The sequence below is a fragment of the Homo sapiens genome, chromosome 10 (genome assembly GCF_000001405.40).
Source record: "Homo sapiens chromosome 10, GRCh38.p14 Primary Assembly".
In the NCBI taxonomy this organism is placed as follows: Eukaryota; Metazoa; Chordata; class Mammalia; order Primates; family Hominidae; genus Homo; species Homo sapiens.
Window position 1 is genome coordinate 952903 of NC_000010.11, and position 17621 is coordinate 970523.

A 17621-nucleotide genomic window follows, 5' to 3' on the forward strand; every position below is an offset into this window, starting at 1 on the left:
CAGAACCAACTGCATAACAGACAACCTTTAAAAGGAAGAAATCGCACCAGCCCAGAACCAACTGCATAACAGACAACCTTTAAAAGGAAGAAATCGCACCAGCCCAGAACCAACTGCATAACAGACAACCTTTAAAAGGAAGAAATCGCACCAGCCCAGAACCAACTGCATAACAGACAACCTTTAAAAGGAAGAAATCGCACCAGCCCACAACCAACTGCATAACAGACAACCTTTAAAAGGAAGAAATCGCACCAGCCCACAACCAACTGCATAACAGACAACCTTTAAAAGGAAGAAATCGCACCAGCCCACAACCAACTGCATAACAGACAACCTTTAAAAGGAAGAAATCGCACCAGCCCAGAACCAACTGCATAACAGACAACCTTTAAAAGGAAGAAATCGCACCAGCCCAGAACCAACTGCATAACAGACAACCTTTAAAAGGAAGAAATCGCACCAGCCCAGAACCAACTGCATAACAGACAACCTTTAAAAGGAAGAAATCGCACCAGCCCAGAACCAACTGCATAACAGACAACCTTTAAAAGGAAGAAATCGCACCAGCCCAGAACCAACTGCATAACAGACAACCTTTAAAAGGAAGAAATCGCACCAGTCCAGAACCAACTGCATAACAGACAACCTTTAAAAGGAAGAAATCGCACCAGTCCAGAACCAACTGCATAACAGGCAACCTTTAAAAGGAAGAAATCGCACCAGCCCAGAACCAACTGCATAACAGACAACCTTTAAAAGGAAGAAATTGCAGCAGCCCAGAACCAAGTGCATAACAGAATGGGCCCCAGTGTGTAATTGGCAGGATTTGCTGGAAGATGTCTCCTAGGATGCGCTAGAAGCATGAAGAGACGCCGGTTGTAAGGCTTCTGCCTCAGGATGTGTAGGCTAGGCAGTCCAGCCCTCTGGAGACCACTGAAGAGGCAGCATTCAAAGTCTTCTGGAAAACATCAGAGGACTAACAGGACATGAAGAATCCCTGAGCAAGCTCCAAGGAAAGACGGGAGCTCGCTTCAGCCTGGAGGCGTTTGCTGATTCGGAGCAAGGGGAAGGCAAGGTGCAAGGCGGAGGCCAGGCCTGCCAGGCAGAGCCACATGGGTTTATCCTGGAGTCCTGTCTGTGTGTGACATTGGCCGGGAGGGCTGCACCCTTGCTCACACCAGCAGCTGGGCAGCCTAGGAAGTCCGAGGCACGCAGGCTGGATCTCCGTGGCCTTGGGAACATGCTCATTAGTTTTTGCGCCATCTGCTGCACTTTGAGCTGCAAAGTCGAGACCACCTACAGCTTCAGCCAAAGGCCTGTCTTTTATGGTGGCCTGTGTCCACCAGCCCGTCTTTTATGGTGGCCTGTGTCCACCAGCCCGTCTTTTATGGTAGCCTGTGTCCACCAGCCCGGCTGGGGAAGGGCTCCTGCTCCAGGCCTCCTACATGTGGACGCGGACGAAAAGGGGGCTCTAAACAACCAGTAGGAAAGAAGTGTGTGATAAGGACATCTGCGGCAGTGGTGAATGTGATGGAAAGACGGGGGTGTGAGGCAGAGCCAGGGAGGGTAGCTGGGCTCATTCAGACCGGTGGCTCAGAGAAGAGGTGCGAAAAGTTGGGCCCCGTGGAATGGGAGTCGGGACATGGCCTTGGCTGCCTGAGGTCGGGAGGAGGACACAGCTGCTGCGTGGAGTCACGGGACCGAGAGGCCACAGAACCTAAATGGGACCCGTGGGTCTGGGGGTGCGGCCGTGAGTGGCAGCGGAGTCCTTCAGGGTACCGGCCGGGCGCATTCGCTCACTGCTGGTGCGACACATGCATGGCAGATGTCTCCTCCCCGCACTTCCCAGGACAGCTCCCATCCACGCTTCCCCAGGACAGCTCCCATCCACGCTTCCCCAGGACAGCTCCCATCCACGCTTCCCCAGGACAGCTCCCATCCACGCTTCCCCAGGACAGCTCCCATCCACGCTTCCCCAGGACAGCTCCCATCCACGCTTCCCCAGGACAGCTCCCATCCACGCTTCCCCAGGACAGCTCCCATCCACCCTTCCCCAGGACAGCTCCCATCCACGCTTCCCCAGGACAGCTCCCATCCACGCTTCCCCAGGACAGCTCCCATCCACGCTTCCCCAGGACAGCTCCCATCCACGCTTCCCCAGGACAGCTCCCATCCACCCTTCCCCAGGACAGCTCCCATCCACGCTTCCCCAGGACAGCTCCCATCCCACAGCCACACTCTCGGGCAGCTCTGACACTCCTCCCAACAGTAGGCTCACATTCCCTCCCTCTTCACCCCAGGGGGCTTCTGAGGTGGTGGAGGTAACACCCCGACTTCTGAACTGAGGGCCCCACCCCTGCCTCACTTCAGTCTGCCCCTGCCCCCTCGACCCAGCCAGGACTGCAGCCCGTGGGGGGCCCACACCACAGGCGCCAGGCAGGCTATGGGGTGGCAGCTTAGGCAGGTGCCTGAGTACACTGCCAGGTCGTTCTTCCTTGTCCCTAGTCCCCAAGGGATTAGAAGGGTTTCTGGCACTTCTGTGCTTCCTGAGATGACTCCCTGTTCTGTGGTTTTGGTGCCAGTAATTGATAAACCTCCAAAATGCTGCTGATTGGAGCATGTCCTCGCTCCTAACACTCAGACCTTCAACTCGGGCCTTTGCCTCTTCAATAAGACCCTCCACGGCCCCTCCACACGTGTCTCCACCTGTTGCCCAGGACGGGGAGTTTACGTTTGCTAACACCATGGTTATTAAAGAGCTTTTCCGGGCTGCCTGACTTCAAAATCTGGAGAGCTTAGTGTTCTTTCTGCTTTAAGTTGAGTTGTAGCAGGAAATAAACAAAGTAAGGACTGCCCTATTCACTGGAATAACTTGAAACTGCACTGTTAATTAAAAAAAAAAGAACTCTAATCCTTTGAAAATCCTGGCAGAAAGGAAACTGTGTGAGGCCATTTGGAAACCTGGCCTTGAGTTCCTCCTCTCACTCCCACCTGAGGCGACTGTTTCCCCTCTCACGCCCGCCTGAGGCCACTGTTCCCCACTGGCTGAGCGTCCTTCCCTCCCACCCTGGCCCCTGCAGTTTGAGGCTCCCACTTCCTGCCCCAGTGCCTGCCAGGTGCCCCACAGAGGTGGGGACACAGGATCTGCAGGACAGGAGGCTCCTGCCAGGTTTCCGGCTAATCCACCAAATGGGCACCTTCTTTGCACAGCGGCTCTGGGAGCTGACTCAGATGGCAATGACTCCACGAACCCTGACAGATTCCATCAAATTATACCCAAGCCAACCCCTACAGCTGAGCGTGACGGCAGCTTGGAGCTGGACGGACACCACAAACTACACAGTTACGTTATGGGAGTACGTATGAGCCCCTGACTATGGGCCCAGGAGTACACCTGCGTCTAAGGGGTTCAAGCAGTGTTGTCTCACTCAGAAATTCTTTTTTTTTTTCTTTTTTTTGAGACAGAGTCTCACTGTGTCCCCCAGGCTGGAGTGCAGTGGCGCGATCTCGGCTCACTGCAAGGTCTGCCTCCCGGGTTCACGCCATTCTCCTGCCTCAGCCTCCCTAGTAGCTGGGACTACAGGCGCCCGCCACCACGCCCAGCTAATTTTTTGTATTTTTAGTAGAGATGGAGTTTCACCGTGTTAGCCAGGATGGTCTCGATCTCCTGACCTCGTGATCCGCCCGCCTCGGTATCCTCGGTATCCCAAAGTGCTGGGATTACAGCCACTGTGCCCGGCCCAAAAATTCTTTAATTTAGGATTCCAATCAGCCTAAAAGACAAGCACTAAGCAGTTTCCGACTGGACTGCTCCCTGGAGGGTGGGCTGTGGGCTACAGGATCCAGGGCTCCCACACCTGTTGCTAGAGCCATGGCCTGTAGCCGAGAGGAAAGTCCCTCCAGGCCCAAGGTATGTGGCTTGGAGCTAGGCCTGGGGGGTCAGGAGAAGGGTAAAGACACTGCAGGAGCTCTTAATTTGGGCCAGGAAGGTGACGCATGAGATAGGATGTAGGCAGACACTGAAGAAGAGCTTGACATCTCCAAGGCCTCGTCTGGAGCCTGAGACGCGGTGAACAGTTTGCTCCTTTACATCCTGTCATTCTGTGATGGGAATGAACTCCAAATGGGAAAACAGCAAAGCCTCAAATCCCAAACCAGCAGCCCTGCTCACTGTTCAGAAGCACTTTTGTGATGGGAGAGTGCAAGCTCTTCCTTCCGGGGAATCTGGTCCTTCTCCTGAACCCTCTTATTTTTTTACTTTTATTTTTATTTTTGAAACAAGGTCTTTGCTGTGTCACCCAGGCTGGAGTGCAGTGGCACAATCTCAGCTCACTGCAACCTGCACCTCTGGGGTTCAAGCGATTATCCTGCCTCAGCCTCCCGAGTAGCTGGGATTACAGACGTGTGCCATCACACTCGGCTGATTTTTGTTTTGTTTTTAGTAGAGACAGGGTTTCACTATGTTGGTCAGGCTGGTCTCAAACTCCTGACCTCAAGTGATCCACCCACCTCGGCCTCCCAAAGTGCTGGGATTACAGGGGTAAGCCACCATATCCAGCCTGTAGTTCATTACTCTATTGGCAATTTTGGGATTGATGATGAATGTTTTTAGATACTTATATGAATTGCTTATTTGTCGATTTTGGAGCTGGTGTTCTTATTTTATTGTTAGACTTTGTATACCAAAAATATAAATGCTTTTTAATATGTGATGGGATTATTTTTTGGGTTATATGTATCCTTAATTGTGTTCTTATGACACTCAAATATAATAAAAATTTTATAAGGTTAAATCTAAGCTTTGCGGGGTATGATTTTGGCCTTTTGAATCACGCTTAGAGATTTTATAAAATATTCTTGCCTGTAATCTTACCCTTTTCAATTCATTTTCTTTCTTTTTTTTTTTTTTTTTTCTGGGTCTGGCTCTATTGCCCAGGCTGGAGTGCAGTGGTGTGGTCTTGGTTCACTGCAACCTCTGCCTCCCTGGTTCAAGCCCTCCTCCCTCCTCAGCCTCCTCAGTAGCTGGGACCACAAGTGTGCACCACCACGCCTGGCTGATTTTTGCGTTGTTTGTAGAGATGGGGTTTCGCCATGTTGCCCAGACTGGTCTCAAACTCCTGGGCTCAAACAGTCCATCTGCCTCAGCCTCCCAGAGTGCTGGGATTACAGGCGTGAGCCACGATGCCTGGCCTCCGATTGATTTCCTCCGCGTAACTGTGGTATGTTCCTAAAGTGCCCACTGGGTTGTCACTTGGATTTGCTCAACATCCACCCGGTGCTCCCCGCAGCCCTTGGGCTGAAGGGTCCCTGAGAGCTGACCTGTCTTGCTGGTCAGCTGCTCCCTGGCTTAGCTGGGTGCTTGCAAACCTGCCTCTTCTGGGACCTGACTATCTGACCACTGTCAGGCCCAGGGACACCGGCTGCACCTGGGCGCAGACACCCCGTGAAAGCACCTTGTTCCTCACGCTCAGTGCCTTGGCACGCACCACTACCTCTCCTGATGTTCTTCTCCTTTCTTCAAGGGACCTTTGAAATGTTTAAGCATCCTGCAGCCTAAGGCAGGTCCCTTTCTCTTGATGGCTGCCAAGAAAAGCACCTGTGTAGCCTTGCTGGGGATGTTGGTGCAGGTGTTATCCACCCACCAGGGAAGGCAGGGGCCTCTGCACACCCCACACCTCTGATTTATATCTTCCCCTAAAATTATGTCATAAACATCCTTCTTTGTTAGCACAAAAGTACCTGCCTCAGGTCTTCATAGCTCCACAGTCACCTGAAGGGACGGGTGAATCCGTTTAGCCGCTTTCTCTGCTGACCTCATCCAAGTCTCACCACCCAGTGTTTCTCCTGTAAATGGTACAGCTTCGCGTAGACACACTGACAACGTTCATGGGGGTCCACGTGGAGTCACAGGCCTGCTGCCCACATCACCCACTATGCCAGCTTGGACTTAAAGTACTTATCAGAGACTTCAGGTTGAACATGAAACATTAATTCTGAAAGAACAGAAAGAAACAAAACGCATTAGACCAGAAGGACAAAGAGCCCAGGAGGAGCAACTTCAGCCAGGATGGAGTGGCATTTGGAAGAGTGGAGTCTCTGGGCAGAGGAAGGACGCTCCGCCTGAGGTCCCCACAGGCAACGGCCCTGGGCTGGTGGTTGCCGAGTCCCTGGAGATGGCAGGGCAGGGCAGGTGGACTAGGTGTGGTTGACAGTGGGTGCTGGCTGAGTTTGGATATAGAGTTTGTGGTCCCAGGACACCTTCAGAGAAGTTTGGAAAATTTATTCCTGAAAATGTGAGATGTACTGGGCTGCAGGGGTGTGGAAATATGCGTATTCTCCCCTAGTGATGCAACTGCTGGGAAGGGAAATTTGGCAGCATTTGTTGGTGAAAGGTGTAAAGCAGGCATTCCTGCTGGTTCAGCAATCCCACCTCCTCATCAATCCCACCTCCCCGTCAATCCCACCTCCTCATCAATCCCACCTCCTCATCAATCCACCTCCCCATCAATCCACCTCCCCGTCAATCCACCTCCCCATCAATCCACCTCCCCATCAATCCACCTCCCCGTCAACCACCTCCCCGTCAATCCACCTCCCCGTCAATCCACCTCCCCGTCAATCCACCTCCCCGTCAATCCCACCTCCCCGTCAATCCACCTCCCCGTCAATCCCACCTCCCCCCCGTCAATCCACCTCCCCGTCAATCCACCTCCCCGTCAATCCCACCTCCCCGTCAATCCACCTCCCCGTCAATCCACCTCCCCGTCAATCCACCTCCCCGTCAATCCCACCTCCCCGTCAATCCACCTCCCCGTCAATCCCACCTCCCCGTCAATCCACCTCCCCGTCAATCCACCTCCCCGTCATTCCCACCTCCTCGTCATTCCCACCTCCTCGTCATTCCCACCTCCTCGTCATTCCCACCTCCTCGTCATTCCCACCTCCTCGTCAATCCACCTCCTCGTCAATCCACCTCCTCGTCAATCCACCTCCTCCTCAATCCCACCTCCTCCTCAATCCCACCTCCTCGTCAATCCCACCTCCTCGTCAATCCCACCTCCTCGTGTCCCCTCATGAATCACCCACACATGGGCATTCTTCATTGTGAAATGTCTTGCAGTTGTTGGAAACAAGATTGTTCAACAATAGAAAGAATGAGCGATCAAGCCATGAAAAGGCATGGAGGAACCTTGAATGCATGTCACTAAGCGGAAGAAGCCAATCTGAAAAGGCCACATTCTCTACGAGTCCAACGACAGAACGTTTTGGAAAAGGCGGAACTGGGGATAATAAGATCAGTAATAAGATGAGTGATTGCCAGGGGTTGACAGAGGGGGAGGGATGAGAGGGGGAGCACAGAGGATTACTAGGCCAGTAAAATGATTCTGTAGGATACTGCAGTGGTGAATCCATGTCATCATACATTTGTCCAAACCCATAGGATGTACAACAGCAAGACTGACCCCCAGTGTAAACTGCGGACTAAGAACGGGAGGGAGGCGCTGGGTATGGTGGGAGGCGCTGGGTATGGTGGCTCACTCCTGTAATCCCAGCACTTTGGGAGGCCAAGGAGGGTGGATCATTTGAGGTCAGGAGTTTGAGACCAGCTTGTCCAACGTGGTGAAACCCCATCTCTACTAAAAATATAAAAAAAATTAGCTGGGTGTGGTAGCACACCTGTAATCTCAGCTACTCGGGAGGCTGAGGCAGGAGAATCACTTGAACCTGGGAGGTGGAGGTTGCAGTGAGCCAAGATCATGCCACTGCACTCCAGCCAGGGCAACAGAGTGAGACTCTGTCTCAAAAAAAAAAAAAAAAAAAAAAAAAAAAAAGAATGGAAGAGAGGGTCATTACCAAATGATTGATGAATTAATTATGTAATTAACACGGTTAATTTCAGGGACCCCTTAGAGCATTGAGGACTCCACTCTGGCATGTAAGGAGCTGGGATGTCATCATTTATATTCTCAGAACAAGAAAAAAGCACAACAATGTGAAAATCAACACCTTTTCTTTGGTCTGCCACAGAATCGAGGCATAGGGAAAAATCACTGCCCAAAGCCCCAGAGAGGCAGAACACAGAGGAGCACAGCAGGAGCGGAAGCCCCGTGTGGATCCAGCACCAGTAGGAACGCCAAACTGCCACTGATGCCTGCTGGAGTGTGGGAAGACAAAACCACCTACCTAAGTTCTGTGTCCAGTGAAATTACCTGAGGGGATTTGTTGTCAGTAGATCTGCCTTGCAAGAAATGTTAAAAGAAGTTCTTCAGAGAAGGAAAATGACGTAGGTCAGAAACTCATATTTCTTCTTGGCTCGTTGATGGCTGTTGTCTTAGTCCATTCGTGTTGCTATAAAGGCACACCTGAGGCTGGGTAATTCATAAAGAAAGGAGGTTTATTTGGCTCACGGTTCTGCGGGCTGTACAAGAAGCATGGTACTAGCATCTGCTTCAGGTGAGGCCTCGGGAAGGTCCACTCATGGCGGCGTGGTGCCAGCATCTGCTTCTGGTGAGGCCTCGGGAAGGTCCACTCATGGCAGCGTGGTGCCAGCATCTGCTTCTGGGGAGGCCTCGGGAAGGTCCACTCATGGCAGCGTGGTGCCAGCATCTGCTTCTGGTGAGGCCTCGGGAAGGTCCACTCATGGCGGCGTGGTGCCAGCATCTGCTTCTGGGGAGGCCTCGGGAAGGTCCACTCATGGCGGCGTGGTGCCAGCATCTGCTTCTGATGAGGCCTCGGGAAGGTCCACTCATGGCAGAAGGTGAAGAGGAGCTGCTTGTACAGAGATGATGTGGCCAGAGAGGAGACGAGAGAGAGGGGGCAGGCACCAGGCTCTTTTTAACAATGAGCTCTTGGGGGAACTCATAGAGCAAGAACTCTCTCATTCCTGCCAGGACAGCACCAGCCACTCATGAGGGATCCAGGGGCATAACCTGAACACCTCCCACTGGGCCCCACCTCCAACACTGGGGATCATATTTCAACATGAGGTTTGGGGAGACAAATATCCAAACCATAGCAGGCAACTTCTCCCTGTGTCTTCCTTTCATCTTCCCTCTGTGCACTTGTGTGTCCCAATCTCCTCTTCTTATAAGAATACCAATCCTAGGCCGGACATGGTGGCTCACACCTGTAATCCCAGCACTTTGGGAGGCCAAGGCCGGTGGATCACCTGAGGTCGGGAGTTCGAGACCAGCCTGGCCAACGTGGCGAAACCCCATCTCTGCTAAAAATACAAAAAAAATTAGCCAGGTGTGGTAGCTCATGCCTGTAATTCCAGCTATTTGGGAGGCTGAGGCAGGAGAATCACTTGAACCCAGGAGGCAGAGGTTGCAGTGAGCCAAGATCACACCATTGGGACTCCAGCCTGGGCAACAAGAGTGAAACTCCATCTCCAAAAAAAAAAAAAAAAAAAAAAGAATACCAATCCTTTTGGGTTCGGGCCCAACAATATGACTTCATTTAACCTTATTACCCTCATATAGGCCCTGTCTGCAAATGCAGTCACATGGGGGGTTAGGACTTCAACATGTAAATTTGGGGACACACAACTCAGTCCGTAAGAGTGCAAGGGAGAGGTCAAGGCTTAAAATAAGAATTTGGCTTCCTTGACACAGAGATGACTGTACTCAGTGACCCTCCTCCTGTCATGTGTGGGACAAACCTGTTAGCTTGGTGTGATACAAATCCTGTGATTATGCAATGTCATGTGGCAAAAGGGATTTATAGACGGAATCAAGGTCCCAAGCCAGTTGACTCAGTTAATCAAAAGAAAAATAATATCAAGTAGGCCTGACCCAATCAGGTAAGCTCTTGAAAAGCAAAATTTTCCTCTGGCTGGCCTCAAGGAAGAATGCAGAGACCTAAGCTTTGAACTCCCACTGGCCAACAGCCAGCCAAAGCCAGGGACCTCCCTCAGACAACCACAGGGTCTGACTTCTGCCGTAGCCTCAGTGAGCTCGGAAGACCACCGGAACTCACTCCAGAGGAGACCACCTGAACTCCAGATGAGACCACCTGAACTCCGGACGCAGCCTCCCGAGACCCTGGGCAGAGGGCTGAGCTTCACGTGCACAGAATTCTGACCTACAGAAGCTGAGGTGGTAGCTGGATGTTGCTCTCCACTCTAAGCTTGCACTAAACTGTGCAGCAGTAGCGTTTCCCAGACTTGCCATTTCCTTTCTCCTTCTCCTTCCTCCAGCCTGTGGCCAGGTGCCTGCTCTCTGCACCCCACATACCATGGTAGTCCAGGCCTTGGTCCTCCCCCACCCCAGGATCACCACAGTGACCTGCTATTTTTAACCATATGTTTAAAATGGGGTAGGAAGACAGAAGCATGTCAAGTTCATGAAGCTTGAGTTCCAGAGACACCCTGACTTCACAAGTGAGTGACCGTGGATCTTTCTCACCCCATCATCTTCTTTCTTGGTTCATTTTCACCACGTGCTTCTTATCCACCACGCTGCTATTCCTTGACATGTGCTCTGAGGACCAGCCATTGCACATGGCTTGGGGAGCTGGGGCCCTGCCTCCAACGTGCAGAATCTGAATGATCAGCACAGGGCTGGGCATTTGCGTGTTCTCCTGGGGGCTTTTGGATATATTAAAATGTCATAATTCCTCTGGTGTCTAAACAGAAGTGTGGGAAATAGAAAGATGAATGGGTTATGGTCCCCATCTTCCAGGAGTTTACAAATTCAACCTAATAAAGGGGAAAAGATGCCTTCAGTGACAATGTAAGGGAGTGTCTGAGTCCATTTTGCAACACAATAGCAGAACACCACAGGCTGGGTAATTAAGAAATAGTCAATGTTTATTTGGCTCATGGTTCCAGAGGCTGGGAAGTCCAAGATCGAGGGTCCTTCTTGACGTGTCATGACATGGTGGAAGGTGTCAGTCACACGGCAAGAGAGAGCACAGGCTCAAAGTTGCATCAGCATTAAGCCCTTCGTGAGGGTGGAGCCCTTGTGACTCAAACAACCCCCATATGGCCCCACCTCTCAGTGCTGTTGCCTTGGGGATGAAGTTTCCAACATGTATTTTTGGGGGACACATTCAAACCATAGCAGGGAGAATGTGGTAAGTTCCATAAACAAGTTCTAAGGCCTAAAAATGTAGATGCCCCCATTTATAAACCTGGCTGTGAGTTGAGGGTGATCCAAATCTTTTTATTTATATTTTTGAGACAGAGTCTCGCTCTGTTGCCCAGGCTAGAGTGCAGTGGCGTGATCTCTGCTCACTGTAATCTCTGCCTCCCAGGTTCAGATGATTCTCCTGCCTCAGCCTCCCATGTAGCTGTGATTACAGGCGCCCGCCACCACGCCTGGCTAATTTTTGTATTTTTAGTAGAGATGGGGTTTCACCATGTTGGCCAGGCTGGTCTCGAACTCCCGACCTCGTGATCTGCCCGCCTCGGCCTCCCAGAGTGCTGGGATTACAGGCGTGGGTCACCATGCCCAGCCCAGATTCATTTTTTGAAATATGGTTTTAGTAATATTTTAGTAACATTAGTTATATCTGTTTTTTTTTTTCCTGTGGGCTAGGGCACAGTCCCCAGAAATCTGTGGATTAGGGCCAAGGATAGACGAAGGAACCTGAAACCAGGATGTCAAACGCTGTTGCAGCAGATGATCAATTTGGGCTTCATAAAAACTGGAATGTGCTGAAGTTAGCAGAGGTCTGGCTCAATGGACATGTCAGACGTCAGAGGCCACGTCGATGTTAAAGGTCATGGGCCACAAAACGCAGGGTCCAAGCCTAAGCCCAGAGTAACACCGGGTTTCCTGACCCCTCTGAAGATAACGCTGTTGGCCCCGCTAACTAATGAGGGTGTTTGTGATGAAAAGGCGACAGTGGCCAGGACTGTGCTGACTGTGGGGTGCCGGGGCTGCGGGGAGAGAGGGACCTCACCAGCTGTGTGTTTGTCATGGGCGTAGACAGCTCAGGACAGCACAGAACAGCACAGCTCTGAGGCGGTGGACAAGATAAACACCTACTGTGGGGCCAGGCCCCACCAGGAGCCCTGGGAGTGAGGCTTATGGAACACTGACACACACTCAGTGTAGATGCACAGGCTGTGATGAATGACCCCAGGTGGGGCCTCCACCCAGGGCTGCCTTGCACGCTGAGGCCCGAGAGGGCTGCCTGGGAGCCATGCAGGGTCAGGCCGGGAGTGGACGGGGGACCTGCTAGGTCCTCGCGGCTCAGCACCCGCCTGCCTGTGGTCCACACAGTGCCAGTTTCCTTGGGAGAATGGGTCCTTCCAGCCGTGTGTCTGTGTCTGTCCTGCTGGGAGTGCCCGTGGGGCAAGGCCGGGCTGAGGGCCCCGCTCGGCTGTCGGCGTCTCCCACGGTGGTGCTCAGCGGAACGTCCCAAGGACAGAAGGCGGTGGTGCTGATTCACTTCCGAGGCACAATCAGAAACCCAGGTCCTGCCTGGACTCTGAGGCCCCCAAGGCCTGGGCTGGTTTCTCTGCCCTCATTTCCCCACCTCTGTGCGGCTCCTGGGTCATCTCAAAGACACGGTGCCCGCTCCCCCCCGTTTCTCGGTTACACAATTCGAAGGCGATCCGTATTTTCAAGCAGCTTACAGTCTGGTCGGAGACACCAAGAACGCAGCAGACGCGATGGAAGAATTAGCAACTGACAGATATTTGTATATAAGCAGAAACAAACTAAGGAAGAAAGGAAACATGCCATTTACAGGCATTTCTGCACTAACCAGGTGCTGATTAGTTACATAATCGATGAAACGGTTGTTTATGCGCCAAGTCGTTCAAACATTTGTTAACTGGCACCTACTAGATACCAAGACCCGGCGCTGTGAAGAAAACATGGCAATGTCACACACTGGGAGATGCCTGCCTTCTGGGAGAGAGTTATGTCTGCTGCTTAACATGAGCAATAAACAAGTGACATTTTGGTTTAGAATCATCAACCGATTTATGTCAAACAAGCAAAGGAAGCAGCCATGGAAACAGAGCTCAGGCCCCTTCCCGGCAGTGGCTTTGCTGTTTAGGAGAGAGAGGCCTCATGGTGGACTCACTCATTATTTTAATTTATCCCTGTTTGGAGCATAACGTTGTTTGAAAAAGCAGAAAGGGACTTACGTGTAGATGAATTGAATACACAGTGGGTTCTTGTATGTGTGGGTTTTGTGTGTGTGTGTGTGTGTGTGTGTGTGTATGAGATTTTATTTTGTTTCTATCTAAAAATCTCTCTAAAAAGACAGTAGAGGCAAGGAAGATAGAGAAGGAGAAAAAGAAGAAGGAGGCTGGGTGTGGTGGCTCACATCTGTGATTCCAGCACATCGGGAGGCCAAGGCAGGAGGATTGATTGAGGCCAGGAGTTCAAGACCAGCCTGGCTAACATAGTGAGACCCCATCTCTATAAAAAATTTTAAAAAATAGCTGGGCATGGTGGCGCACACCTGTAGTCCCAACTACTTAGGAGGCTGAGGTGGGAGGATCACTTGAGCCCAGGAGTTTGAGGCTGCAGTGAGCCATGATCGCACCACTGCACTCCAGCCTCGTTGACAGAGCCAGACCCTGTCTCGATAAACAGGAGGAAAGAAGAATGTGGCACAAGCCTTTGAGGACAAAAGGAACAGAAGAGGAGCCGTGGGAGCTGGGTCAGCAGTGTCCGCACATCCTACCGAGGAAGCCGAAGGCTGGTGGAGCTGCAGGCAAGCACATTTGCAGCTCAAACCCGAGAGGCACAGAACGGGAGTGTCAGCACCCATGGGTGTCGGGCGAAGGCAGGCCTGAAATAAAAGGCTTGCGGGAGACAGGGCAAGAAGCCTGCTCCTCCACCTCTCACAGAAGGTGAGTGACCCCCACTGTGGCTGACGCCTGGAGAAGGTGTGTTCTCTGGACCACACAGAGAGAGGTAGGTTTCTCCTGGGATGGTTTGAGTCTGAGGCCACCCCCTCACCCCCACTGTGGCTGATGCCTGGAGAAGGTGTGTTCTCTGGACCACACAGAGAGATATCGCTCCTGGGATGGTTTGAGTCTGAGGCCACCCCCTCTTCCCCACTTGGCTCTCAGAACACTGGCAGCCAAAGGATTATCGTCTCCAAGACAAGGCGTTCGAACCCTTTCCTTTGAGGGATCTCATTCATCCACTTGGAAAGCCACAAAGATCCTAACAGGAAGGGGTCTCCGATGAGGCCTCCCCCGGGATCACGGAACAATGTGGCCACACACAGAGCTGCAGTCAGCCTGGTAGTGCCTGACTTGCTGGGTGGACAGCCCCAAATCTTCAGACTCCTGGGGAAAGCATCCACGGTCAAGTTCACACACAAACAGGACAAACGGAAAGCTATTCGGAGGAAATGGGCGCAGCGCAGGGAGGACACTTCAAGGAATAAAAATGCTAGAATTTACATCCTTAGAGAGAGAAGTAGACATTGAACCCATGAAACAAGAACAGAACACCTTAAAAAGGAACGTATGAAAGGAAACAAAAGCTTGTGCAAAAAAATTAAACTATGAGAGCAAAAATGCCAACCGCAAAAGAAAGGTTGGAAGATAAAATCTTTAAAAACTCTCAGAAGGTGAAACCACAAGACAAAGAGATGAAAAATAAAAGAATAAAGATACATTTTTGGTTCAGTGAGGAGCTAAAACATTTAAAAGAAACGAGTTCCAGCCTAAGCAAAGAATGGACAAGACCCACAAAGCATGCCACGAAATCGCAGAACTCTAGGAAGGAGGAGGCTCAGCCCTTGCTGCGGAGAGAATCGGAAGCCAGCCTGACACTGGGCCAGGCGGAGGCAACCCCGGACTTCAGGGGGCAACAGAGGGAGGAATGCCGGGAATTCCGTGGGCACACCATCTTCATTAAGCTTCCTCACCCAGCCATGATCTCGGCTCACTGCAACCTCCGCCTCCTGGGCTCAAGCAATTCTCCTGCTTCAGCCTTCCAAGTAGCTGGGATTACAGGCGTGTGCCACCATGCCCCATTAATTTTTTGTGTTTTTAGTAGAAACAGGGTTTCAACATGTTGGCCAGGCTGGTCTCGAACTCCCGACCTCAGGCGATCCGCCCGCCTCAGCCTCCCAAAGTGCTGGGATTACAGGCAGGAGCCACCGCGCCCGGCCCTGTTTTCTATGTTCTAGAGCAGTGTTTTTGATGGACTGTGTTATCCCCTCATATGTGTGGTTCTGGCTCAGGAAATAGTCAAGCAGAGGCTTCTAGAAATGGATAAAAGATTGGATTCAATTCCCACTAAGATTCCTTCTGTCTCCAAGACCCTATAATCCTTATGGCATGAAAACCTCATTAACATGAAACCTGGTAATTGGTAATTTGTACTAACCATACTGAGCTCAAGTTGGAGTGTGGCGTTGAGCTGATAAAAAGGCTTTCCCAGCAAGTAATGCTGCTTAAGAACAAACTGAGGTCAAACTTTATAAATGCACCATACAAGCAGTTTGTGTGATAATTAAAATAGTTCTTAGAGATAGTTTCCAAAGAATGTTTTTCTACTTAGCAACCCTTTATTAGCATATTTTTTGGTTACTGAATACACTTGACTTTTCCCTCATTCCACGGCCTTCCCTCCAATTAGCCTAAATTGATAGGGTTTTACCCCATGTGAGCATCTTGACTATCGCCGCAGAAAGAAGATGTGAATGAGGGTCCTCTAATCTAAGGAACAAAGACAGGTCACTGAGGACGGAGACTGACTCCCACTTGGCTGTTGTCAATAGGATTTTCCTGAAAGCTCAGCCTCTGACAATTTCACGTGCTTTGTTGATGGTATCTCAAAGAGCGAACATTCCTTGAGCCACAAAGAAGAACTTGGCTGACGGAATGAAGTGATGGCAACATCGGGAGGAAATGCCATCTTCTTCAGAGTCTGGTAGCTGTGGGCGTGAGCGCCTTCGCGTATGATGGCTTCCTGCGCGACAGCAAGCACATCCTGGGGAAAGGGCTAGAAAGAGAATAGGCAGTTCTATCTAACTGCAAATGCAATATAAATCACAGGATGCTGTGTCTGTGGAGAAAGCTGTTATGATCTTATGCTTTATTCATTGTGCATTCCCCGGAACAACAGCTATTCTCCAAGCCCTGTGACCTTCGGAGTCGGTAGAACACATCTTCCGTGTGCCCTTGGGCCTTGGCACCGTATCTTAAGAGAGACTTGGGCAGACAAGTGCAGACTGAGATAAGGTAAAACACCAGGAACTCTGTCTTATGAGGAATAGTGGAAGGAAATGGGAATAATTTCTGGATTGGATAGGATTTCAGGCAAACACGAAAGATCTTTTCAAATATTTGGGAGGAAAGTAAGGGGAAAAAATGGTTCCTTTTACGAGGTAGGCAGTGACAACCTGTATTGTGTCTTCCTCCATTTACCTTCCCGGTTTGTTCTCCCATCTCCCAACTCCACTCCAAGTGACGGTTCAGACTTTGAATTCAGCTGCTGCGGGTGTTTTCCAGAAAGCTTGATGACAAGGGCTCTTCTTGACTTTTATAAAAGCTTGGAAGAATGTAGTGGTAGGGTAGATAGAGGAGTGATGTGTTTAAGAATTAGGAGAAAAGGCTCGGCACGGTGGCTCACACCTGTAGTCCCAGCACTTTGGGAGGCAGAGGTGGATAGATTACTTGAGGCCAGGAGTTTGAGACCAGCCTGGCCAACATGGCAAAATCCTGTGTCTACTAAAAATACAGAAATTAGCCAGGCGTGGTGGCACACGCCTGTAGTCCCAGTTACTCAGGAGACTAAGGCACAAGAATTGCTTGAACCAGGAGGCAGAGGCTGCAGTGAGCCAAGATTGCGTCATTGCACTCCAGCCGGAACAGCACAGCAAGACTCTGTCTCAAAAAAAAATAAAAGAAAATTAGGAGAAAAAGAACTGCTCTGGGAAGAAGGGAATGGAACTATCCCAAGATTAGAGGAAGGCTGACTCCCATTTTATGGAGATGTCCAAAAGAGAGGACCTCACATGCAGCTGACGGGAGTTCGTGACCTGCATGCCCACATGGAAGGTAAGGGACCGTGAGCATTTTGGCAGTCATGAGCCCACATGGAAGGCAAGGGACCGTAAGCATTTCAGCAGTCATGAGCCCGGACTGACGCCTGCAGGAGGTCCCTGGGTGCTAGGCTCTGCCACAACTCCGGTGACCTCTTTGTTGTCCCAGGGCCGTCGGGCAGTGACTGGGAACTAATAACGACTGAGATGAAGTGTCGACACAATGCTGATGGAAGGAGGCTTAGACATGAATGGAAATTGACTTAAAGAAATTACTTTCTTGCATGCCTATACTTATGGATTCGATGACTATACATTTATACAGCTCAAGGACAGATCAAGGACCAATGAGTAGAAGGTTCTGGAAGGAAGGTTTAGTTACTGCAAAAAGAAATGTCTAAGCATTGTCACTCCCAGCAGTAGGAGAGTGCTTTTGGAAGCCGGAGCTCCTGCCACAGGGCAGAACACTAACACCCATCTTTCAGGGGCGTTTTAAGGGAAAATTCCATGATGGGTGTCACACACTGGATTAAGCAATATCTTCCACCCCTCCCAAATCTGGGGTTCTGTCATTCTATGAATTATCAGAATCCCTGGCTCACAAGTGGGACTGGACTGAGTCTCTAAGAGCTTGTAAATATTTG

The 17621-nt window shown here is 50.9% G+C and overlaps 1 protein-coding gene across 3 annotated transcripts in view; it reads right to left on the reverse strand.

Moving 5' to 3' along the window:
- LARP4B (La ribonucleoprotein 4B) overlaps window positions 1-17621 on the reverse strand; it is a 181428-nt gene that overhangs the window by 145989 nt on the left and 17818 nt on the right. For all 3 annotated transcript variants that reach the window (XM_047424897.1, XM_047424894.1, XM_047424893.1), the window contains exon 2: window positions 5743-5996. The gene's annotated coding sequence lies outside the window, so the exon portion shown is untranslated. The remainder of the gene's footprint in view (window positions 1-5742; window positions 5997-17621) is intronic.